General features: G+C 36.0%; 1 protein-coding gene and 1 pseudogene across 4 annotated transcripts in view, besides 1 other annotated feature; one reads left to right on the top strand and one right to left on the bottom strand.

Moving 5' to 3' along the window:
- PDE5A (phosphodiesterase 5A) overlaps positions 1–15,785 on the top strand; it is a 134,402-nt gene extending 118,617 nt beyond the window's left edge. For all 3 annotated transcript variants that reach the window (NM_001083.4, NM_033437.4, NM_033430.3), the window contains exons 16-21: positions 2,484–2,584; positions 4,256–4,333; positions 5,589–5,652; positions 7,533–7,607; positions 8,935–9,018; positions 11,450–15,785. In NM_001083.4, the coding sequence (NP_001074.2) occupies positions 2,484–2,584; positions 4,256–4,333; positions 5,589–5,652; positions 7,533–7,607; positions 8,935–9,018; positions 11,450–11,587 (540 nt within the window). In that variant the 3' untranslated portion in view covers positions 11,588–15,785. The remainder of the gene's footprint in view (positions 1–2,483; positions 2,585–4,255; positions 4,334–5,588; positions 5,653–7,532; positions 7,608–8,934; positions 9,019–11,449) is intronic.
- The window catches only part of SEPTIN7P14 (septin 7 pseudogene 14), a 44,810-nt pseudogene continuing 29,510 nt past the window's right edge, over positions 10,596–25,895 (bottom strand). The window contains exons 6-9 of the transcript NR_037630.1: positions 16,751–16,855; positions 15,665–15,755; positions 12,285–12,377; positions 10,596–10,627 (exon numbers count right to left, since the gene is read on the bottom strand). The product of NR_037630.1 is annotated as a septin 7 pseudogene 14 (transcript). The remainder of the gene's footprint in view (positions 10,628–12,284; positions 12,378–15,664; positions 15,756–16,750; positions 16,856–25,895) is intronic.
- Positions 19,561–19,660: a silencer, noted in NCBI's record as "silent region_15655". NCBI's record gives its function as "represses an Ori minimal core promoter by ATAC-STARR-seq in GM12878 lymphoblastoid cells {active_cell/tissue: GM12878}" and the evidence as "EXISTENCE:reporter gene assay evidence [ECO:0000049][PMID:35858748]".

Below are 25,895 nucleotides of genomic sequence, written 5' to 3'. Positions count from 1 at the left end.
CAGAAACAAAAATGTGTACTCCTGGGTAGCAGTCCAAATTTTGAACATGATTTAAAGTTTCAGGTTTTCTGTTACTGCACTGGTAGGCTTCTCCCATTCCCTACCTTGTGTTTCTTCTAACTCCTTCCTCTCTCCCCAACCTCCATGTGGTTTCTTACCTCTTCATACTTGGAGAATGGGAAGGGAGAATAGGTAAGAAACATCAAAACATTCTTAACAGACTGGTACTGATATGAGTGCCTTGCTTTTAGACTTTCCAGACAAGAGTCAGACACAAGTCTACTCTAGCCCCACCTCCACCCACTAAATGATAGGAGACATACACAGGAACTCCACACCCCTCTCTCTTACCTGAGGTAGAGGGGAACACACTCTCACGCCTCCCTCAACACCTCAGTGTCGGGGAGGAATTAAGAGTTATATAGCCTGTTTTGGCAACCTCCTTATAAAATCTGTATATGGTCTAGTACAGATTGTTTTTCTACAACATGTGACTGTTTAATGTGAATTATATCATGTGTGATTGGGAGGTAGAAGAATGGTATCAGTATACTATAGACGTTCTATCATTTCATACACGACTTCTCTGGGGTAAGAGGTGCCAGAATTATAGAAGTTGAATTCTGACCTTCAGCAATAAAGGAAAAAGCCCTCCCTTTGGCTCGTGCATATACAGCCCTTTCCATTCTATCTTAGGAATATTAAAAATGAGCACTTGCACCTGAGGCTCTCTCCCTCGCTTTGGACTGCTGTAGCCTCTTGGTAGCTTGCTCTTCTTTCAATGCCCACCTTAATAGCAGAGTTACTGTCTCAACAATCAATTCTATATGCATTATTGCAGGGCCCCTCAAACCAGCATTTCTACTTGATTGTTTTTGTCCATCTTTAATGTCCTCAGAAGCAGCCTCCAGACCTGCCAGACTGGCCTGTCCAAGTTACTTCCAGAGGAACCAATTCTTGGTTTAGTTTGTGCTCTGGTTACAAAGTTGCATAGGTTTTGAGTGGTCTTTCCCAATACCATTTTTTCACAAAATCCATGTTATTTTTAGTGTACGGTTTTTCAGAACTGAAATTTCTCAGGAATGTATATGTCATGTTATAGTAGGAACATCTGTACTTTTGCTATCTGTGTGTTTCCACTAAAACTTTCATTTCAGTATCCCACTACAAATTTAGCTCCAAAGAAAGAAAATATGCTTTTTTAAAAGCATATTTTACAGTATTCCTATCAACTGACCTGTTACTATATAACTTATTATGTAATATGTTGTTACTTAATATATAAGGAATCTGATTATCTATATGGCTGGCTCAAATTATAAGACCTATCTATATATTCTATCTTTGTAAGCATAATTACACAAGAAATTATATCCTCAGCTTTTGAGAGTAAAAAATAAAAATATAGCACCAAAAGACATTTCATCTTCCACTTGAAATTGTTTTATCTTAAAGTAAGTATCAGAAGGTATTTTCTGAATAGTTTTCTGTTTAGCCTAGAATCTAAAATGATTTAGTATTTAAAAATAATGTTTATGGTTGTAATTATAGATTATTGTCATTAATTAGATCCATGCCACAATTTCAGCATCTAGTTATCCTTTAATCAATGTGTTTTGGCCCCAGCCTAACATACCCAGAAGTTCTCCTGTCTTCATAACAAATCCCTTGCCTTCAGATCTCATTCCTAAGCGTCTGGGTTTTTTCTTGGCCCTAAGATATAGGAAGCACATCTGACTCAACTTACAGATGTTGTTTTGATTGTATTCTGAGTGCATGGTCTGTGTATTTTACTTAGTTCAAGATTAGAGAACCACTATGCTTTAAATTACAGATAAGAAATAAAAAATGGTTACATAGTGAAAACTTTGAATGATTTGCACATGGATTAGCTACCTTTTAAATATTCCTTATAGATGTTTCAACCCACGCTTTCTTTCACCACTGACCAGTAAGCACCCTTTGGCTCATGCCCTTTACCCATCTATATTAAGATGTTCCTAAGGAATATGCACTGTTATCATAACTGACCAAGTTAAAATTATATAAATTTGCACCAGAAATGTTACTGGATTTATTTAAAATGCCATAGAGAAGTTTAAAAATTTTACCACTTCTTTCTTCATATCCATTAATATGGCTTTTTTTTCAAAGTTTTACATGCTGTTAAATTATAGCGATTAGTCTGCCCTACGGAAAAGGATAGCTATTAGATTTTAAGTCTGGACTAAGGCTTAAGGAGTATAAGAGTTGGAAAAACATGCATATGTAGGCAGATGAAGCATTATGAAGCGGTTTACATGTATGACAGAGGGGTTGGGTGGGAACATAGAGGGGAAACTTTATTTCATGGTATTTAAGTGTGTCCTCCACATTCATTAGAATACTGGGCATGTGTTTAAGATATGTGAATATATTTCTAGATTTTGTTCTTGTCAGCAGCTTCTCCAGGATGTTAATACTGGTTTTCTTTTTTTATAAAGGGCAATCAGATTCTCAGTGGCCTCTCCATTGAAGAATATAAGACCACGTTGAAAATAATCAAGCAAGCTATTTTAGCTACAGACCTAGCACTGTACATTAAGTAAGTTTTAAGAAATAACCTGAGAAATAGGTATTTGAAGTCTTTTCATTGTTTCAAACTTTTGACATCCATATTGAGAAATTTCAAAGCAGAAATGTCCTGGCAAAACTGCTTATCAGAATACGGAGCAGTTTCTGAAAGGGTAGCCAGAAAAGTCTACTCCTTTGGCTTATACTGCTGAAAATTAAGAATACCTATTATTTCTGATGTTTATCTACCACTGTGTCTCTGAAACTATATACAAATCTAATAGCCATCTCAAGGTCAGTCATTCCAAGCCATGTTGTCCAAAGATTATATAGATCATTTGCTTTTCCTCCTTTCCCTTGCTCCCCACAACTTCTGACCATTTCATGACTCCTTTATACCGTCATTCAAGCTTAGTTGGGCAGGAAAAGGAGTTACTGCCAAGCAAGTAACTCTTGTTTCTTTTTATTTGATTTTGGCAGGAGAAGAATATTTATGTAGAACTTTGAAGTTGTTGATTCTAAAATAAGAGTATACATTAGAGTTGTCTCTGTGATTATGCATTTTCATGATTAAACTGCCTTTCTAAAAGCTAGAAAATACTTTCCTGCATTTGAGCAATCATAAGTTTCCAACTCCTAGCTGAGATCTTTGACGCATGTGTGGGAATGAGGGGAGTCAGGGAATCACTCTCAGGATTTCCTTGTAACATGAGTCTCTCTCCCTCTGTAAGGAATTCACATTCATGGTTGTAGTTACTCTTAGGAGAAGTAAAAACACATAGAAAAAACACAAAAACATCTGCCAGATATCTACTGTTATACATCTAGAAGTAACTGCATGTGCCTACTTAATTGGTTTTTAGAGCATTTTGAGGTTAAGACAAAATAATATATATTAATAGTAAACTTCAGTTTATTAAAAATAATTGCAGAATAAGGATTATCAAATTACCAAGAATTTGAAAAATACCTGTAACCACAATGCCTTTCTAAGCTTTACAGGCCACATGGGTCTCTCCTTTGAACCCTTATGAAACATACTTTTCATTTTTTATAACCATATACTATCAGTTTTATTACGTAAGTTTTTCTTGAGTCTTGTGTCTCCAGGTAGATATTAAACACTGCGAAAAGAAAAATTTTTGTCTTATGCCTTCTCAAAATGCTTAACAATACTGGGCACATAAAGAGGTATTCACTGTACACCAAATATTATTATATTCACTGAATAATAACAAATATTATTTTATTTTAAACTTTACCTAGTCTTTGTTTACTTCAGAAGCACTTCACAACTTTAGATATTTTTATCCCCTACCATGAAATAAATGATAAACTGAAACCTATAGATCTTATTATGCCATGCACTTAAAATACCTGAAATCATTCTCAGCATCAAATTTTTAACTCATACTGTTTCATTTTTCTTAAAATAACAAATATTCAAGAATTGAAATTACCATAATTTGTGATCTATAGTTAAAAATTAGGTGAGGTTTAATGTTTTATCGAAAGCAAATGATAGAAGGGGGAAAGTGAGGTATTAAAGATTTGTAAATGATGATTTTATAGTGGGCTCTAAGATGGGAAAAAAAATCAGAGGTTTTTTTTCACCAAAATTTAGTCCATGAGTCTTTGTGGACCAAAGGGATAAGACCCTGGGTACTCATTATAACTAACAATTTTTTTTTAAACATTGTAGGAGGCGAGGAGAATTTTTTGAACTTATAAGAAAAAATCAATTCAATTTGGAAGATCCTCATCAAAAGGAGTTGTTTTTGTAAGTAGGTTTACTATCTTTAAAGCTGAAGTTTTTTACCCAGTTAATTTTCTCACTATTTTTTCCTCACTGTTAGTTTTTATTGCAATTATTTGTTACAATATGATGATCTTAAAAGCGGTCAGATTTCTCCAGAGGGTTGTACAAAGAGTAAATTTGAATATTTACTTGAAAAGAAATGCATTTGCAAATCCAAGTGAATGAACTGTTCCTTTGTTCTAGAAAAACCTTTAAAATGTGGTAGAGTATCAATATATGGCTATAGGTTTCCCTTATTCATTTTCCTAATTCATTGTAATGGAAGTGCTGAAAATGGAATTATAAATGTTGTGGAAGTAAGATATAGCTGCAAAATGTTTACTTCTCTTAAAGAAAATCTGAAAAGGTAGAGCAGTGAGGTCAGGGTCCAGACATGGAAGGAATACTATTAAGTCTCTATGATTAAAACAGTTTGATATTGGTGGCAGACCAGTGGAACACAGCTGAAAATCTAGAACTGCATAAGACATATAGTGTATAATAAAGATAACATTTCCAGTGACTGGAGGAAAGAGAGAGATAAGTGGATAACCAAATGGAAAAAGACAAAATTGGATCTACTCTACAGACTTAAATTCCAACTGAAGCATAGAGTTCAATGTAGAGAATTAAATCATACAAGCATTAAATAAAAATATAGATGGATTCTTCTATAACCTAGGAGTGAGAAAACTTTCCTAACTATAATTCAACATGCAGAAACAATAAAGGAGAAAGCTGAAAAACATGATTAATCATTCAAAGGCTTTTCATTTAGAAGTTACCATGTGTGTTGAGTGAATTAGGATGACCTACTATAATTTCTGATATAAGACTTTTATCAGTATGATACCTGATGTTGTACTTTAATGGTTATTAGTAATCAATGTACTTTCATCATACTGTCGCTGAGAATGGAATACTAAGGTGACAAAAATAATAAAAGCAGGCAAGATTTTACCCAAGGTTAATAATTTTTCAGTCTGCCAATCTGGAGCTAAATGAGGCAGTTTGAGGACAAATTCCAAAAGTTCAAAGGGAAACTGAAACAATGATGCTCTGTTATCAATGTATTAGTTAGACTTTCATATAAATTGTTTCTTTTTCTTTGGTCTTTATAAACTGCCATTTCCATTGTTTAGAGGGTTTTAACTTTTTTTTATTAGTAACTATTTACTGAGGGTATATAATAACACAAAAGTAAATAGGAGTTTTGGGTTTCTTTTTTCCATAACAGGGCAATGCTGATGACAGCTTGTGATCTTTCTGCAATTACAAAACCCTGGCCTATTCAACAACGGGTATGTTACTTAGTGACAATAACAATAATTAAAAAGTCAAAATAACATTCTACCCAGCAATCCCACTACTAGGTATCTACCTAAAGAAAAATAAATGACTATATAAAAAAGACACTTATATGTTCATCACAGCACCATTTATTATATAATAGCAAAGTCATGGAACTAACCTAACTGTCCATCAACAGTTGATTAGATAAAGAAAATGTGGTACATATGCACCATGGAATACTATGCAGGCATAAAAAGAATCAAGTCATGTCCTTTGCAGCAACATGATTGGAGCTGGAGGCCAATTATCCTTAATGAACTAACTCAGAAACAGAAAATCAAACACTGCACATTCTCACTCATAAGTGGGAGCCAAACAGTAGGTACACACGGACATAAAGATGGAAATAATAGACACTGGGGACTCCAAAAGGGGGAAAGGTGGGAAAAGAACAAGGGGTGAAGAACAACCTACTGGGTACAATGTTCACTGTTTGGGTAATGGGTATACTAGAAGCCCAGTCCCCACCAATACACAATATACATATATACCAGACATGCACATATACCCCCTAAATCTAAAATAAAAAAAATTTTTTTAAGTAAGTTTTTACTCTTAAAGGTAGCTTCTGAAGTAAGTATGGAATTTTTTTTGGAATTTTTAAGTAGTATTAAAAACAGATAATTGGACATACAAAGGCTTTTCTTTTTAGAAGATGCATTTGCACATAATATTTGTAAGATATATTAAGAAAGAGAGCATCTACATTAGCACAGTTTTCATTTCAGTGTGAAAGGCTGAGCATACTTAATGCAAAAACCCAAAATGTTCCAAAATTCAAAGCATTTTGAGTACTGACATGACACTTAAAGAAAATGCTCATTGAACCAGCATTTTAGGTTTCAGATTTTTGGATTTGGAATATAACTTATACTTCTGGCTTACTTGTTTCTTAAGGTCATCCCTTTAATGACCTTGAAAATTAGAAGAAGCAAAATTACTTTTCTTATGGTTAGCCTTCTACGCTGTGCCTCAGCTCTAAATAGACATTAACAAGTAGAACATAGAGATTTCTGGGGCTTGTAGATGTAGGAAGTATTGATATAAGATGTCGAGAAAGTTCTGAATGGAGCCTGTTACCAGGAGGCTAGAAAAAAATCCTTCCCTCTAAGTAACTGCTATAATGTTTTGCAGAGGCAATACAGGCTCAGAAAAAGTGATGGATGTCCATGCAGTGACATATATATTGTGTTTTTGTTTTTCAAGATTTCATTTTGAGTCCGTAATAAATATGCTATTTAGGATTGTTGACAGCCTGCTGTTGGTCAAGACTCCGGGCTGCTTAGTCAGGGAGCCTAGTAACTCTTCCTACAGGCTCATCTCATGAAACAGACATGCCGAGAAAACAAGATCAAAAACTCATTCTCCATGTGCCAAAGCCAACACGCCATAAGCACTTAGGTGATCTTTACCTACCTTCCTGCCCATAATAAACAGGACTATATGCCTATTTATTTCTAACCAGGTAAGAGAATAGAAGAGGGAAGAATGTGTCTTCATATATCCTTTCTCTCCCCTGAATCAAACCCTTGTACATACTGTTTTATGGGGAGAAAATAAATGAAGAAAACATTTTTAAATAAAATTAAAAGGGAAAAATGTTGGAAGCTACCAAAGACAGAGAGATGTACCTAAGTGAAAAAGAGTATAATGTAATAGTTAAGAGAGCACGCTTTGGACATGGACTACTTGTCTTCGGGTATCAAGCTGCTGCTTATTTGCTATAAAATGGAGATATACAGCTCCTAACAGGGCCTTCATTCACGGTCTCTGTTTTAAAGAATGATATGCTTTTCATTGTCAAAACTGAGTCTGTTATTTATTTCAGATAGCAGAACTTGTAGCAACTGAATTTTTTGATCAAGGAGACAGAGAGAGAAAAGAACTCAACATAGAACCCACTGTAAGTATGAAACCTTGTTGGTAGGAATTATTCAAATTGTTTTTTTTTTAATTGTAGACTCCTTTTTATGGCTCTATGGGATCTTTCCTTAGGACCACAATTTCTCATTTTATTTTTTAAAACTTTTTTCTCATTGGAAGAATTATACATGTTCATTACAGAAAGCAAAACCAATAAAAGGCATAATAAAGACTCTTGGGTTCATCATATTGTATCAGTGTTCTTTGTAATTTGTTTTTTTCCGCTTAAGTATTAGAAACCACTTTTCATTTTAACAAATATTCTTATGTATTATCATGATTACATGAAATCGATGTAACCATAATTTACCTACGTCCCTTGGTGTAATATTTGCAGTGTTCACTATTACAAACAGCACTGTGATAAACATCCATCATAGATGTTTCACTCCTACTCCTTGGTTCTCGCCATCAAAAGAATTTAATAGAGAAGCTGTGGCTGACAGAGAAAGGAAGGAGAGATACCAAAAGAAACATGGAGGAAAGATGACCAGATGTCATGCCACCACCACAGTCTCCCCAGTTTTCTCAGCATTCTACTTGTTTACTCCTTTGTTCAAAGTTCTCCTCAGAAGTGTGTTCAGAGCAGTGTTTCATCTATCATAGATGTTTATCACAGTGCTGTTTGTAATAGTGAACACTGCAAACATTACACCAAGGGAATAGATAAACCGCCAAACCTCATTCTTCATTATCTTGTTAGCATAAATTCCCAAAGTTGTCGTGTTGAAGGGCAAACAGAATTTAAAGGTCTTTGATACATACTGCCTTTTTACATAGAGTATGGATCTCAGATACAAGTAAAGATTCCTCTCAGCCCACTTCTGTTTTTTGGAATGAGTTTCCTTGAAATAAAACATAAGAGTTTTCCTCTTTTTTTCTTTTTGTATTAGTTGCTGTCTGACCTTCCTAGGCTAACCCACTGATTCACCTTTCTAGAGCCAGCTTTGTGTTCTTTAAATAAATGCACACAATGGCTCATGCCTGTGATGCCAGCACTTTGGGAGGCCAAGGCAGTCAGATCCCTTGAGGTCAGGAGTTCTAGACCAGCCTGGCCAACATGGTGAAACCCTGTCGCTAATAAAAATAAAAAATCAGCCAGGCGTGGTACTGCACACCTGACTAGGGAGGCTGAGGCAGGAGAATAGCTTAAACTTGGGAGGTGGAGGTTGCAGTGAGCTGAGATGGTGCCACTGCACTCCAGCCTGGACAACAGAGTGAGACTCCATCTCAAAAAATAATAAAGTAATAACTAACTAAATAAATAAATGCACATCTGTGTGTCTGGTCTGTATTTGTATTTTCAGGATCTAATGAACAGGGAGAAGAAAAACAAAATCCCAAGTATGCAAGTTGGGTTCATAGATGCCATCTGCTTGCAACTGTATGAGGTATTTATATGAAAACTACTAGACTTGCTAAACTTGGACTGTTGTGAATTAGAACCTAAAATTGAAGAGATTAATATTAGGCGCCTATATTTTGCTTCTAAATCAAGAAATAAAATTATTAGCAGTATGGTTTCTTTTACTGATGAACATGTTTGTATTGAACAAGGAACACATACTAATATCTATTGAGTGCCTACTATGTGCTAATCTCCAACAAATTGATTTGGGGATGCTAAGAAGAATTATGTGCCAGTGTTACCCTCAAGGAGCAATACTGTATATACTATGCGTTAGCATATTCTTTTTTTAAGTCTAAATTTTAGCCTAAATAAAGAAAAGTAATCCAACTTTTTCTCATTGTCATAATGTGGCTTTACTCTAGTTATAAAAATTCTTCTGAGATTAAAAGGAAGGAGGTAGAATATTGCAGGTTCCCATTTCCACGTATCTGCTGGCTTGGCTTTTGGAGGGGGGGTGGTTATTGTAGGCAAATAGATTCTCCCTAAAACATCTAACTTATTAGTTTAGATGTTTATGACTCAAATGCAGAAAGAAGAAGTTGTCTTTGTCTTTGAAGGTTTAAACGGAAATGTTTTAAGTTTTAATTATTTGGAAAAAGAACATTTGTCATGGAGTTATCATAGAATGTCAAGAGCAGAAAAAAAACCTAGAAATATTCTAATCCAGATATTTCAGATTTAGTAATTGAACTTGTAAAGTTCATCTCCCAACGAGACAGACTATTTGCCCCAAACAGGTGGTTAGTGGGAGAGGTGCATCTACAGTCCAGTTCTCACTCCTACTCCAGGATTCTCGCCATCAAAAGAATTTAATATAAAGAACTGTGGCTGACAGGGAAAGGAAGGAGAGATACCAAAAGAACCATGGAGAAAAAAAAAAAAAAAAACTAGGTGTCATGTGCCACTGTCGTCTCCCTATTTTTCTCAGCATTCTACTTGTTTACTCCTTTGTTCAAAGCTCTTCCTCAGAAGTATGAAGTGTGTTCAGAGCATTGTTTCAAACACTTGGACATCTCATTCTTTCCATAACAGTTGCTTTCCTTATTGATTGGATTAAGAGTTTCTCCATTAAAAATACTAATGGCTCTTTTGAGTTTTCTCCATCCCTGTAAATACAGTCAACATAGTAATCACCTATTATAGATGTTATCCTTCTACATTTATATATATATATATACACACACACAAGGATTCATTTTATTTGAATCTGCTGTTGAAAATTCTATGTGATACTGACAAGTATTTTTAATATTATTACAGAAATAGTTATGTTCTCACTATAGAAAAATCAGAGGCCGGGCATGGTGGCTTACACCTGTAATCCCAGCACTTTGGGAGGCAGAGGCAGGTTGATCACTTGAGCTCAGGAGTTCGAGGCCAGCCTGGCCAACATGGTGAAACCCCATCCCTACAAAAAAACAGAAAAATTATTTTCTATTATAAGCGCGGGTGTGGTGGCACGCGCTTGTAGTCCCAGCCACTTAGAAGACTGAGGCAGAAGAATTGCTTGAATAGGGGAGGAGGGGGTTGCAGTGAGCCAAGATCACGCCACTGCACTCCAGCCTGGGCAATGGGAGTGGAACCCTGCCCTAAAAAAAAGAAGAAAAAGAAAAATCAGAATTACTGAGAAGCAAAAAGGAAAATAAAACCAGTTACAATCCATTACCCAGAGAAAACTACAGATAACATATCAATGTATATGCTTTATGACATTTTCATATACTTTTCATTTAATAATTCAGTAATTGCCTTTTGCAATCCATAATGTCATTATATCCATATTTTATGTATCAAATGTGTTTCTGTGAGGTTTCTTTTTATTTTTTTATTCTGCGGGAGGTTTTACAGTGACAACCTATTGTTGGGTATTTGTCATTTTAAGTGGTTCACTATTAGGAAGAAATCTGAAATGAACATTCTGGTGGCTAAATATTTATGGCACTATAATTGGTACATAATAATGCCACACCAAATTATGAATCTTTATTATAATATAATCCTGGATAAAAGCCTATTTAAGTACATTGTATGAAACCATTCCCTAGAAAAACGCAAAAACTAAGCAGTTCCCTGATGCAGTCACACTTAGGAAGAGCCAACTGTACTACATAGAAACAAAATGTCTTTTTTCCCCTAAAAGTGGATTCCACACAGATCTGTCTCCCTAGCACAGTAATGTTATTTTGGAATGTGTGTGTTTGCTCTGTCCCTCAGCATGTACTCCTTATCTGTAGTGTTTTAGAAGAATCATGTGTAAATGATCTGTGTATGTGCTCACAAAGCTTGTGAAAATTTCAACAGTGAGTCTGCTTATGAAATGAGTGTGGGATGTGGCCCTTTGTAACAGGCCTGTGGGAGAGGACTTATTTCCTGGCTTCTCTCTAGCTGTTTGCTTTCTTTTTTCTCTTTAGGCCCTGACCCACGTGTCAGAGGACTGTTTCCCTTTGCTAGATGGCTGCAGAAAGAACAGGCAGAAATGGCAGGCCCTTGCAGAACAGCAGGAGAAGATGCTGATTAATGGGGAAAGCGGCCAGGCCAAGCGGAACTGAGTGGCCTATTTCATGCAGAGTTGAAGTTTACAGAGATGGTGTGTTCTGCAATATGCCTAGTTTCTTACACACTGTCTGTATAGTGTCTGTATTTGGTATATACTTTGCCACTGCTGTATTTTTATTTTTGCACAACTTTTGAGAGTATAGCATGAATGTTTTTAGAGGACTATTACATATTTTTTGTATATTTGTTTTATGCTACTGAACTGAAAGGATCAACAACATCCACTGTTAGCACATTGATAAAAGCATTGTTTGTGATATTTCGTGTACTGCAAAGTGTATGCAGTATTCTTGCACTGAGGTTTTTTTGCTTGGGGATTATTTTAAATAATTGGTTTTTGTGTTTTCTGAATTACCATTTTTTCAAGAATGTTTGGAATCTTTCCTTTTTCAAAAGTAGGTTAGGAGCAAATTATCATACATTCTGTGACATTTAAAGCCTTTATAGGATAGTGAAAAATGCTGGCTGAGTGGATTTTAAGAGAAATAATTGTATTTGTTAACAGTGTCTTTTTTTAAAAAGTTAAGGCACTCTGAAACAAATGGAAAGTCCTATGAAACTGTATTGTAAAGAAAACATTATTTAATTGATATGCTGTTTTGTGAGAGAACAGGCAAGACAGAACTTTGTCACTTCAGTGCAGTACATTTTTCTGAAAGCTACCCATAAAATCACTTTCATCTCACCTACCTGATGCAAAGCAGGTGAAACCTTAGGAGATGATCCAGTCACTGACTTGATTGAGGGATAAGTGTGATTTAGAAATGGAATGGCCTTGGATGTCTATCAGTGAAGAAAAATGTTCTGTTAGAAGATCTCTCTAAGAGTTTTTTTCCTTCTGAGCTTCCTTTTCAAAATAAAAGTGACAATTGTAGCATTGACTTGAAGTGAGACATGGTTATAGATAAGAGAGTACAAAATGACTCTTTTTCCTGTCAATTGAAATTTAAAGAAAAGTTTTAATTATATAAATAGCAAAGGGCTATTGCCAATACTAGGGTCAAAAATGAATTTGAGGGAACAGTGGGTAAGAAACTTTATGCCTGAATAACATTTAGCAGTATTGTGATTGAAAAATTGCCATATTTTGATGTATAGGACAAGTCAACTGAGATCCAGAGAATCCTGGATGTGAATGCTAAACACTGGCCCTTAACTCACATTCAATGTATTTTCTTCCCATAACATTTAGTATAGTTAATATTTTCTTAGAATTTGAGCCCATTTAAGTGGATTAATATTCTACATGTGTGCCCCTAAAGACACATTTACTCAATATTGGAGAAGTAGATAATGAATTAAGCAACTGGTCTAGGAAAGGAAAATTTGTTTCAAATATGCAGGAATGTTTGGATTTGGGGAGAGTAGAAGGAGAGATTTGCTTGATTTGTTAACTTCTACCTCCAACCCACAAAAAAGATATTTGATCTGAGTTTCTATCACTAATTTGGATAGAAAATTTCTAAGGGACATGGTAATCCAGCATTCTCAAGGACCTTTCGCCAAAATGTGTTTTCCATCTATGTCCCGATTCCCCTAAATTTTGCCTAAAATTCAGTATGTTCCTTAAGTTTTTAAAATTCTGAGTGTGTACAAATATCTTGACATAATGCAGTTTTATTTTTATCATTCTGGTAAAAAAACAAAAAATAGAAGCAAAACACATTGTATTGCCATTATTTTGTATTTGGTAAAGGTTAATCTAGGAAGTTACCAACTGTTTAATGCTATATGTATTGTATACTTGTATTTTCAGGATATTTTATTTTTTTTGCCATACAGATAAAATTTGTAAGGTTGCCCCTTTGTGGCACTGGTGTGTAAAATACACAGACTATCACTAAAATAATAGTTATATATACATACAGGTGTATACTTATGCATGCATACATAAATCCTTAGTATAGAAAAATTGCATAAAGAATAGCAATCTTTAATAAACCTTTTTATTACATTGTGATTTAGCAGTTATGCTAAAATATGTACTTATGCTTTAGTAGTTTGTTTGGTCCCCTCTAGTATGTGTCACTGAGAAATTTTTTAAAGACATGGTAGATCGTGTTTAGAGGCTTTGTATGTGTGTCATTTTAATAAGCAAGAAGATATATTTAGATTAGAAATGGTTTGGTCTGCCTTTGAATATTGTTTATTTTACTTTACTAGTTGAGACATTAAAGGAAGCTGGGCAATGCCTATTTTATTTCTTTGTTGGATATTTTAGTTCATACAAAGCAGAGTACTTCTTTAGGGCTGGTTAATTGGTTCAAATAATTTTTAATTTCCTTTCTAGTATCTTCTCAAGTTGGAAAAATATACATACAGTCCTCCTTCACCTTACTCTGTATTTATATTACCCATAACTAGCAAGAAGTTCTTGTTCTAGATTTTTTGTTTGTTTAGTTATAACAGAGTAACATACCATTTAATTACAATTTTTAGCCAGAAAAGTCCCCACTATTTTACTAACTTGTTAAAAGATATCTATATAATTGCCTGGCCTTATATTTTTCAGTAGATTAGACCGTGCCAATCACAATCCTGGGTGGATTTGTGTAAGTCACTTAACCTCTGTGTGCCTAAACAAGTTGTGCTTTTTTAAAAGGAGTTATGTTTGGGCAAAGCCTTTGTCTTCAAGCAGAATGTCACAGAAGGCAGCTACTTTATAAGCCCCAATGGGCCATGGAGACCACTGTCAGAAATGGGATATTAGTCTAGAGAGAAGGTGATCTATTCCCACATGTCATTTCTAATGTTGAGTTTCCATGACTGAACAAAGAGAATATATTTATTCAGCTTCACTTGCAGATCACTAGTGAATGTGAGATTTAGAGCTCATTGAGTATATTGCTTCAAGGTACAAACCCAGGATGATGATGTTGTCACCACTGTCTCTTAATTTTGAATAATAGTTTCCTTTAATAGGAGTATTAGAGATAAGAAAGTATATGAAAATATACTGGAAATATTGGATTCTTGGAGAAAACTGTTCAGTCACAGATATATTCTTGCCTAGCAGTGAAGTGCCTTTATTTTCAGCATAGCAAATAAATATTAGACCTGTTCCAATTTGATCTACAATTTTTTTCTGTGTTTTTCACCAGATTGTACTCCTAAAACTTAACAGGCCATCACAAGCAATTGTCTTTTGTTTACAAGATTGATTTAATATGAGAGGATACAAAATGTCATCGTTATCCTCTCTTATGAACAACTGTAGTCAAAATAAGGTGGCACAATTTAATTGTTTTGTATCAGAAATACACTGACCCACCTTTTATTGAGTCCTGCCACATGTTAGGTACCGTGCTCTGCTGTGGAGACAGAGCAGTGACCCCAAGGAGCTCACGGTCCCTGAAGGAGGTGCTAGAGAAGAGACTTAGCTTCTGATACTGCCAATTTAATGTGAGAACATGGGGTATACTGCATCATTTCCATTTTCATCAATAACATATGTTTTATGCACCTTCTTTACCTGAAACTTACTAAGAATCTACCAGTAAACAAACATCCTGTCTTTTTGCAAGTATGAATCACTTAACCTGCTGATAGTTGAAGAACACTTTAGGAGTTTTGTATTCTTGTATATAGTTTATTTTTTCCATGTGCTAGCCAGGTAAAGATTACACAGTTCTTCTGGACTGTTAAATTGTGCATGGTTTTGGACCCCTTCTGCTCTACTACAGAGAGTGAAGAAGAAAGTATTAAAGCTCACTTTACCATTCCATATACTTACTAAAAGCCTGTGTAAACATGTCTTAATGAATGTTGTTGAAAGCAATGTAAATAGTTGAAAATATAAATTTATATTACAGTTTAAGAAAACCTTATGAGGCATCACTAGCCACTGTTAATATCTATTTGTATTCTTATACCTTTTCAATATATTTGAACAAATATAGTTTCTGGCACTATTTTTATACTAGGAAAAGGAGTTACTATGTATATTATGCTTAGCTTTTAAGGCATTTTAAATAACCATGAATGTTGATTTCATTACTTTCCTTTCCTCCATCACGAGAGTCATTTCAGATGACTCTTTCATGACAAAATCACTTTAAAGGAACACTTACCTCCGATTCCTGTATAAAGTCATGAGATGGTCAAGGTGGTTTTCCATTGTGCAAATTCTTCACCTGTCAGTGGTTTCCTCATTTTGCCATGCTTTGTAAAAATAAAAAGAATGATCAAGTAGGTATGAATACTGTGTGATTATTAGGGGACTCTGAATTTTAAGGGAGGGGAATTAATAGGGGAGTTTGGATTTTAGGCAGAGAGAATGGGCCCAATACTTTGAGAGACTTTAATCAAGCTAACCTGTGATCCTATTAGCCGAAGAAAAGTAATCCTTTCCTTAGCCTAGACTCTTCTCAATAATAGTCTTCCTTTTATTAATACTCTTTGTTGCCAATTTGGGGGCAATGTTTTCCATCTCCTTCTCACTTCAAGTCAATAATGACTCTTTGGAGGGTGATTATTACCAGCCTGATGCTCCATGAGGAGCTGAGGCTTGGAGCTGAATACTTGGCCAAATGGCATGAGCTGGATTTGAGCCCAGATCTGTCTAGTTGCAAAGCAAGGGGTCTATTCCTTAGTTCTCTTTTTGAATTTAAATTTATAAAGGTCTCAAATCCACTCTTACAAGCCAAATGGGCTATCTGGAAGCATTAGAGACAGGAATTCCCTCACCCAGCAGGTTTGGTTTGTCTGAGTTTTTACAGTTAACATTTCTTAATTTAGTTCATCTGGTAATAGCTAAGAAAATGCCTTCACAGACTCCCACACCACTGTATCTCAGTGCTTCTAGTCTAGAGGTGTGAAATTATGAGTAAATGCAGAATTTCTGATTTCATTATTTTGCCATTAGACAAGCCTTCTTCATGTGGGGCAGAATATCTAGGTTATGTCTAATTCATAAAGCTAAAGGAAGAAGTAAAGTATAAGCTCATGTAGAACAATATTTTAGATTCTCTGACCACTAGAGAGTGCCAGAGTTTTAGTTATATTTAAAGAAGTAATCTTCCTTCCTGACCATAAAGAACTAATAAAACTGTGTGTTTTTTTTTAAGATTTTTAGTGGCTAAATAAAAATAAATGGAAAAAAATCAATAGAGAAAATAAAAGGTAGGGGGGAAAATTGTTTAAGACTTGCTTATTACCTTTTGTACAGTGATCACGTCCTCAAGATTTTCTCCAAACAAACAAAAGTTATCATTTGAAGTCTCTGATACTCAATATTCCATTTGGGTAGACATCTACCCTTCCTATGGAAAAGGGACACATTTGACAACTCTTGAACCTGCTTTGTTGCTCTTAGTTCTGTAGCATTCTTAGCAAACAGGGATTCTTACATTTGATATATGGAAATGTCAGCCTATGATTTTCTATTCTTAAGGCACATAACATTAAATTAGAAGAAATACTTAAAACTTGAAGAAAATATTCTTCACAGTTTTAAGCTGTATTCAGATTATAGCTCAGAAAAACATGTTTCCAGTTCACAAACCATTTGTTCAAAATAAAACCCACAAGTTACAAATAGAATAAAAATCATGATTATTTTAATCAAAAGAAATCTGACTGACTAGCATATGTGATTTCTCTTCCTGGCTTTCCTCATTTTAAGTATGTGTGTTTGTGTGCATGTGCACACACCTGTGCAAAGGTGTGTTTATGGTGGACAAAGGGATTTTAGGCAGTAGCCACAGGAACTGAGTTGGTTCTTTCAGTTATCTAACGGCAATCCCAATTTTAGGATTCCTCTTCCTAAACTGGAATCTCAGGGACAAGCTTGCATAGCTAAAGAAAAAAACACTGAACATGAACTATAATAACAGGGTTTGGGTTTTTTTGTTTTGTTTTGAGACAGGGTCTCACTCTGTTGCCCAGGCAGGGGTACAGTGATGCTTTCTCAGCTCACTGCAACCTATGTCTCCTGGGCTCAAGTGATCTTCCCACCTTAGTCTCCCAAGTAGCTGGGATCACAGGCCCATGCCACCACACCCATTTTTTGTAGAGACAGCATCTCGAACTCCTAGGCTCAAGCCATCCACCCACCTCGGCCTCCCAAAGTGCTGAAATTACAGGCATTGGCCACCATGCCAACCTTCATAATAGTTTCTAACTTTAATATACCTGATACTAACTACCTGCAAAGCTATTTTTCACATTTCCACTTCATATCATTTTTGTCTTACCCAATAGGAGTGTTTTAAGGCTTTATATGACACCAATCAGCATGTAACTGTAAGAAGCAAACTTCCCCCTTTACCACCCAGCTCTGAAAGTCAGGAATTCTCTGGTCTCACTGATCTGCCATGAAACGTGGTCATCAACTCTACCTCAGCTACAACTGCTCTCTATCTGTCTCTCTTTCTCTCTCTCTCTCCAGAAAAGCCTACAGAAATAGCTACTAAAGTTGCTCTACTGAGCCTATGAGAATAAGTAAGTTGGCTGGGTATGGTGGCTCACGCCTTTAGTCCAAACTACTCCGGAGGCTGAGGCAGAAGGGTTGCTTGAGCCCAGGGGTTGAAGGTTACAGTGAGCTAAGATCAAGCCACTGCAGTCTAGCCTAGGTGATAGAGTGGGACGTTTATCGCTAAAAAATAAAATAATTTTAAATAAAGGACAAATAAGTAGATCCAGCGATCCCACTACTGGGTATTTATCCAAAAGAAATAAAATAATGTCAGAGAGATACCTGCATTCCCATGTTTATTGCAGCTATTAACAATAGCCAAGATACGGAATCACCCTAATTGTCCATCAAAGGATGAATGAATAAGGAAAATGTGGTATATATACACAATGGAATACTATTCAGCCATTCAGAAGAATGAAATCCTGTCATTTGTGGCAACATAAATGAACCTGAAGACATTATGTTAAGTGAAATAAGCCAGGCACAAAAAGACAAATACCACGTAATCTCATTAATTTGTGGAATTTTTAAAAACCGATCTCATAGAAGTACACTGTAGATGGTTACCAAAGGCTGGGGTTGGGGGGTCGGGAAGGGGAAGAGATTGGTCAACAGATACAAAATTACAGATACATGGGAGGAATAAGTTCTGGTGTTCTAGTGCACAGTAAGGTGACTATAGTTAACAATATTGTACTTTATATTTCCAAATAACTAGAAGAGAGGATTTTGAATGTTCTCACTGCAAAGAAATGATAAATGTTTGAGATGATGGATTAGACAATTACCCTGATTTGATCATTATGCTATATATATATATATATAATATATATATGGAAATATCACACTGTATCCCATAAATGTGTGCAATTGCTAGGTGTCAATTGCTAGGTGTCAATTAAAAATAAAACCTATAGAAAAGAATCAGTAAATCAGTAACACTCCTTGGAAGATGAGGAGAGGACTGTAACTTTGTTTTCTGGAGCCTCTGCTGCTCTTTTTCTACTCTGGCTCCATCCTCGAGAAACATTCAGTTCTCCCCGGCCCCACCTGAATTACACAGCCTTCCTGAACTACCAGCATCTCTCTGCATTCTTTCTTGTACTTTGAAGGGACTCAACAAATACCTATGGAGTAAAAGAATAGATTCCCATTGTTTCTTACCTGACATAAAATTGAGTTTTTTATAATGAAGAAGGTAATTTTAGTGAAGGGCAATAGAAAAATCAATATAGCATTTTTAAAAGAATCCTCAGTTGAACAAGAGCTGAAATGTAATATGAAAAAACTGACTGAATAATAAAAAAGTTTTTAGAAAAATATATTTCTGTTTCTACTGTGAAAAACATGTTAGTTGCCAGGCTTTCATTAATAAATTGACAACCAGTGTGAAGTTACTCCCAGTGGGAGCTTTTATTGCTAGACACCAACGAAAATTCATAAAGGCGGAAGGCTAAAAATCTATGGAAACAAACAACTTCAAGCCAAGAGGCAGGATTAAAAAAAATAATAATAAGCAAACATGTCAACAGAAGACATGCATTCATTCACAAATAGTTGGTTCTCTACTAAGTGTCAAGCTAGGGTACACTAAATAGGCATGGGCTCACAGAGCTTGCAGTTCAGTGGAGGAAACACACGAGGGCAAACAAGCCATTAGATCTATGCACTGAGGGTAAAGAGTGGAGGGTATTTAATTCAAACTTGAAGCTCACAGCTTCCTTAAGGATGTGACCTCTGGTTTAGTCAAGTGAAAAGGGAAAAGAGCGTTCCAGGCAGAAGAATTAGAATATCTAAAGATCTAAAAGTAGCAGACTAGAGAACTTGAAACATCTACTACTACTTATTTAAATACTTACAAAATTATTATACTTATGAATGATGAGTATTAAAAGTATATTTATAAAGTATAAATATTTCATACTTATGTTTTATAAAATAAAGCAAATATCCTTTGACATAGCTCTTAAGAAAGTAAGGGAAATTCCCAGAGGCCAAAACAAAGACAATTAAATATCCAAGTAGAAAGCATGTAAGCGATGCTATAACAGACCTGGGACAATTTGCAGACCTCTATCATAAAGGGTTTAATGCCCACCCCAGCTGGTGTCAACCTAAAATAAACAGCAGAGAGACTGGCTTCCAGATCAGAGTTTATCTGGTAATAGCAGGGGATTGTAATCAGATATACATGCTATAGAGGGCCATAGGTGCATCCAGAGAAGCAAAGAAGACAAGGGGTTTTTTTAATGGAATATATTTCCTATTAGCGTTTTTATTATTCACAGCATAATTTATTTTAAAACCAATTTAATTCCTTTTAACCTATTAAACAAAACTAGCTAGGTTAAATTAAACTTAGCAGTGTGCGAAATAACTTAAGGATAACTTACAAAAGGGAATTTGGAATAACCCAGAAATTATATTATTACTTACACATAATTCAAAACAATATGAAAATAAAGGCAAAACGAAGGAGGTTACATTCGTTGTTTTGAAATGATATCCTTGGCTACAAGGATTAATAACAAGAGTGGCATCAGTTCATTAGTGGACAGACAGCTGCTGGGCAGGCATCCTTATAGATGTAATCTTTGTACAAGGTTGTGGTTTTGACAATCTGTTGTGATAGTTTCTGTTATCATGCAAACATGTAAGAAGGTCCTCCCTTCATGGTCTCCAAGCTCTCTTTCCTTACGGTTTGACAGAAGTGACTCCATTTTTGTATAGACAACTTTCACACAGGAAACATGGTCTTGAGACCCCAGGAAGCCTTTAAGGAATGGCCCTCCCAGTAAGGCTGAAACCTCTGAAGAGCTACATCCTCAATGAATATGTGTGAGATGGGGAGGCAAGAACCCACTCAGATTCACAGGGAAACATAAAGGAAGCATGTCTGTCTTAATCTGGGCCCTGGTTAACAAAAAATTTACATTGGGTTTATCCTCATAGTCACACAGATTTGAGTTTGAATATGATCTGGAACTACCCACATTAAATTGTAAGCACAAAAAGAAGTCTCATGCCAGTAATGTCCTCTGTACATCTGGCAAAAGCAAAGGCAGAATGTCTTTGGAATAACACATCCTCAAACAGGCCCATCAAATTTCCACAGAAATTACACTACTTAAGAAAAATTCTTAATTCATAATTTCAAGACACACGAGGAAACAATCAACATGTAAGAAGTCAGAAGTCACAAGACTAAGATCAGATCCCCAAGAAATTCACACAATAGATCTATCTGTTTGAAGCTGTTGGGAGAAATCATTGATTCCTCACTCCTGTGTCTCCATATGGAGGAGCACCCCTAAAGTGACATTCTCAGCCTCTTTCTCCACCTCTAATTCAACCCAGTCTGTTTGTAATGTGATAGCCGTCAGTCCACACTCCTTAAATGGGTGAGGTTGATCTAAAAAAAAGCAGTAAAATGTTGCGGATGTGTTTCTTTTCCTTACCTTTCCACCCTGGTCCAGTGCAAGCTGGAAAGCCTAAGTTTGTCTAGGTATGTGGGCTGTCCCAAGATCTAACCTGTAGAAGGGATGGGGATTGAAGCAGAGGGTAAGAGTAAGCCCATTTAAGTGTAGAATGTTCCTGAACCTGAACATGTTCTCCAAACCCCTTACTTACCTGACTCTCTCCACAAAGCACACTAGCTAATGTCACAGAGTTTTCTGAGGTTAACTATGCCTGTCCTCTAAGGGCTTTCTAGATTGTTGATCAGCAACACCAATGGGCCTTTCCAATCAAGCCTTCTCCTGCTTCTCATCAATGTGGTAAACCTGTGATTTCCTGGTTCTGTCTTAAGCTGTGCCATTCTAGGGACAAACATTCCTTGTGCCAATGAGAACATTCTTACTCATCTCTCCTTTCTGCTGGTGGCTGTATGGGGGAATAGGGGACAGAAGAGAGGTCAACATTGAAAGGGATCACATTTTAGGAATGCAGTGAATATGATCTAATGAGTTCAAGAAAAGTATAACTGAAAGATGTGTTTCTAAGTTATAAAATTCTGAAAAATAAATTTAACATGACCAGAAATTATCATTCCTATTTTTTTCTTCCTACTCCATGGAACACTTGCATTTGTGATGACCATCAACAAAGCACACTAACAAACCTTTAGTCATTGGAAACCAATATTCACAGGCAACACAATGGATGAAACAGCATCACGAATAATACAAACAACATCAATGAATGGTATTAGGGAACTGCAGAGGCAAGATCTATATTATTTTCATATAAACAGATTCTAAACAGCCACAGCATTTTGAGTATGAGTATTGTTATTCTTTTTCTCCCAGTGAGAGATGAAATTAGAGAACAACTCATTTGACAATAAAAAACACAAGCAGACTGTTCCTGGACCTAAACAGGAAGAGATAGTATCTGGACAATACTACCAAGATGAATTATTTTCACATGCACTAATTGGAAAATGAAGTATGTAAATCACTCTTCTCTACCCGTTTTTCTACATTTTCTTTTAAGTTCCGGGGTACATGTGCAGGATGTGCAGGTTTATTACATAGGTAAATGTGTGCCATGGTGGTTTGCTGCACCTATCAACCCATCACCTAGGTATTAAGCCCAGCATGCATTAGCTCTTTTCCCTAATGCTCTCCTCCCAGCACCCTCCCATGACAGGCCCCAGTGTGTGTTGTTCCCCTCCTTGTGTCCATGTGTTCTCATTGTTCAGCTCCCACTTACGGTGTTTGGTTTTCTGTTCCTGCATTAGTTTTCAGAGAATAGCAGCTTCCAGCTTCGTCCATGTCCCTACAAAGGACATGATCTCATTCCTTTTTATGGCTTCATAGTATTCCATGATGTATATGTACCACATTTTCTTTATCCAGTCTATCATTGATGGGCACTTGGGTTGATTCCACGTCTTTGCTGTTGTGAATAGTGATGCAATGAACATACGCGTGCATGGATCTTTACAATAGAATGATTTATATTCCTTTGGGTATATACCCTGTAATGGGATTACTGGGTCAAATGATATTTCTGGTTCTAAATCTTTGAGGAATTGCCACACTGTCTTCCACAATGTTTGAGCTAATTTACATTCCCACCAACAGTGTAAAAGTGTTCCTATTTCTCCGCAACCTCACCAGCATTTGTTGTTTCATGACATTTTAATCATTGCTATTCTGACTGGCGTGAGGTAGTATCTCATTGTGGTTTTGATTTGCCTCTGTCTAATGATCAGTGATATTGAGCTATTTTTCATGTTTGCTGGCTGCAGTATCTGTTTTTGAGAAGTGTCTGTTCAAATCCTTTGCCCACTTTTTAATGGGGTTGTTTTTTTTCTTGTAAATTTGCTTATGTTCCTTGTAGATTCTTGATATTCACCCTTTGTCAGATGGAGAGATTGCAAAAATTTTCTCCCATTCTGTAGGCTGTCTGTCTGGTCTGATAATAGTTTAATTTGCTGTGCAGAAGCTCTTTAGTTTAATTAAATTCCATTTGTCAATTTCTGCTTTTGTTTTAATTGCTTTTGGCAATTTCATTATAAAGTCTTTGCCCATGCCTATGTTCTGAATAGTATTGCCTAGATTTTCTTCTAGGGTTCTTATAGTTTTGGGTTTTACATTTAAGTCCTTAATCCATCTTGAGTTAGCTTTTGTATAGGGTGTAAGGAAGGGATCCAGTTTCAATTTTCTGCATATGGCTAGCCAGTTCTCCCAGTACCATTTTTAAAATAGGGAGTGCTTTCCCCATTCTTGTTTTTGTCAGGTTTGTTGAAGAGCAGATGGTTGTAGATGTGCAGTTTTATTTCTGAGCTCTGCATGCTGTTCCTTTGGTCTATGTGCCTGTTTTTGTACCAGTACCATGCTGGTTTTATTTTTTTTTTTTTACTGTGGACTTGTAGTATAGTTTGAAGTTGGATAGTGTGATACCTCCAGCTTTCTTCTTTTTGCTTAGGATTGTCTTGGCAATGTGAACTGTTTTTTGGTTCCATATGAATTTTAAATTAGTCTTTTCTAATTCTGTGAAGAATGTCGATGGTAGTTTAATGGGAATAGCATTGAATCTATAAATTCCTTTGGGCAGTATGGCCATTTTCATGATATTGATTCTTCCTATCCATGAGCATTGGATGTTTTTCCATCTGCTTGTGTCCTCTTTGATTTCTATAAGCAGTGGTTTGTAGTTCTCCTTGAAGAGGTCTTTCACTTCCTTTGTTAGCTGTATTCCTAAGTATTTTATTCTCTTTGTGGCAATTGTGAATGGGAGTTCATTCATGATTTGCATTTCTTCTTGTCTGTTGTTGGTGTATAGGAATGCTTGTGACTTCTGCACATTGACTTTGTATCTTGAGACTTTGCTGACGTTGCTTATCAGCTTAAGAAGCTTTTGGGCTGAAATGATGGGGTTTTCGAGATATAGGATCATGTCATCTGCAAACAAAGAAAATTTGACTTCCTCTCTTCCTATTTGAATACGCTTTATTTCTTTCTCTTGCCTAATTGCCCTGGCCAGAACTTCCAATACTACATTGAATAAGACTAGTGAGAGAGGGTATCCTTGCCTTGTGCCAGTTTTCAAGGGGAATGCTTCCAGCTTTTGCCCATTCAGTATGATGCTGGCTGTGGGTTTATCATAAATGGCTCTTATTATTTTGAGGTATGTTCTTTCAATACGTAGTTTATTGAGAGTTTTTAACATGAAGGGATGTTGAATTTTATTGAAGACCTTTTGTGCACCTATTGAGATAATCATGTGGTTTTTATCTTTAGTTCTGTTTATGTGATGAATGACATGTATTGATTTGTGTATGTTGAACCAGCCTTGCATCCCGGGGATGAAGCCAACTTGATCATGGTGGATGTTTTTTGATGTGCTGCTGGATTCAATTTGCCAGTATTTTACTGAGGATTTTTGCACTGATGTTCATCAGGGATATTGGCCTGCAGTTTTCTTTTTTTGTTGTATCTCCATCAGGTTTTGGTATCAGGAAGATGCTGGCCTCATAAAATGGGTTAGGGAGATATCTCTCCTTTTTAATTGTTTGGAATTGTTTCAGAATGGTACCAGGTCCTCTTTGTGCCTCTGGTGGAATTCAGCTGTAAATCCATCGGGAGCTGGGCTTTTTTTGATTGGTAGGCCATTTATTACTGCCTCAATTTCAGGACTTGTTATTGGTCTATTCAGGGATTCAACTTCTTCCTGGTTCAGTCTTTGTAGGGTGTTTATGAGTGCAGGAATTTATCCATTCTTCTAGATTTTCCAGTTTATTTGCATAGAGGTGCTTATGGTATTATCTGATGGTTGGTTGTATTTCTGTGGCGTCAGTAGTGGTATCCCCTTTATCGTTTCTGATGGTGTTTATTTGAAATCTTCTCTCTTTTCTTCTTTATTAGTCTCGCTGGTGGTCTATTTCATTGATTTAAAAAAAAAAACAGCTACGGGATGCATTGATTTTTTTGGAAGGGTTTTTCATGACTCTTATCTCCTTCAGTTCCACTCTGAGCTTAGTTACTTCTTGTCTTCTGCTAGCTCTGGGATTTGTTTGCTCTTCATTCTCTAGTTCTTTTAGTTGTGATGTTAGGGTGTCAATTCGAGATCTTTCTAGATTTTTTATGTGGGTATTTAGTGCTATAAATTTCCTTCTTAACACTGCTTTACCTGCATCCCAGAGGTTCTGATACATTGTTTCTTTGTTCTCATTGATTTCAAAGAACTTCTTGATTTCTGCCTTAATGTCATTATTTACCCAGGAGTCATTCATTCAGGAGCAGATTGCTCAATTTCCATGTAGTTGTGTGGTTTTGAGTGGGCTTTTTAATCTTGAGTTCTAATTTGATTGTGCTGTGGTCTGAGAGACTGTTATTATTTCAGTTCTTTTGCATTTGCTGAGGAGTGCTTTACTT

Source organism: Homo sapiens, chromosome 4, assembly GCF_000001405.40.
Source record: "Homo sapiens chromosome 4, GRCh38.p14 Primary Assembly".
Taxonomy (NCBI): Eukaryota; Metazoa; Chordata; class Mammalia; order Primates; family Hominidae; genus Homo; species Homo sapiens.
The sequence above is the reverse complement of the archived record's forward strand: the minus strand, read 5'-3'. Positions and strand labels throughout refer to the sequence as shown.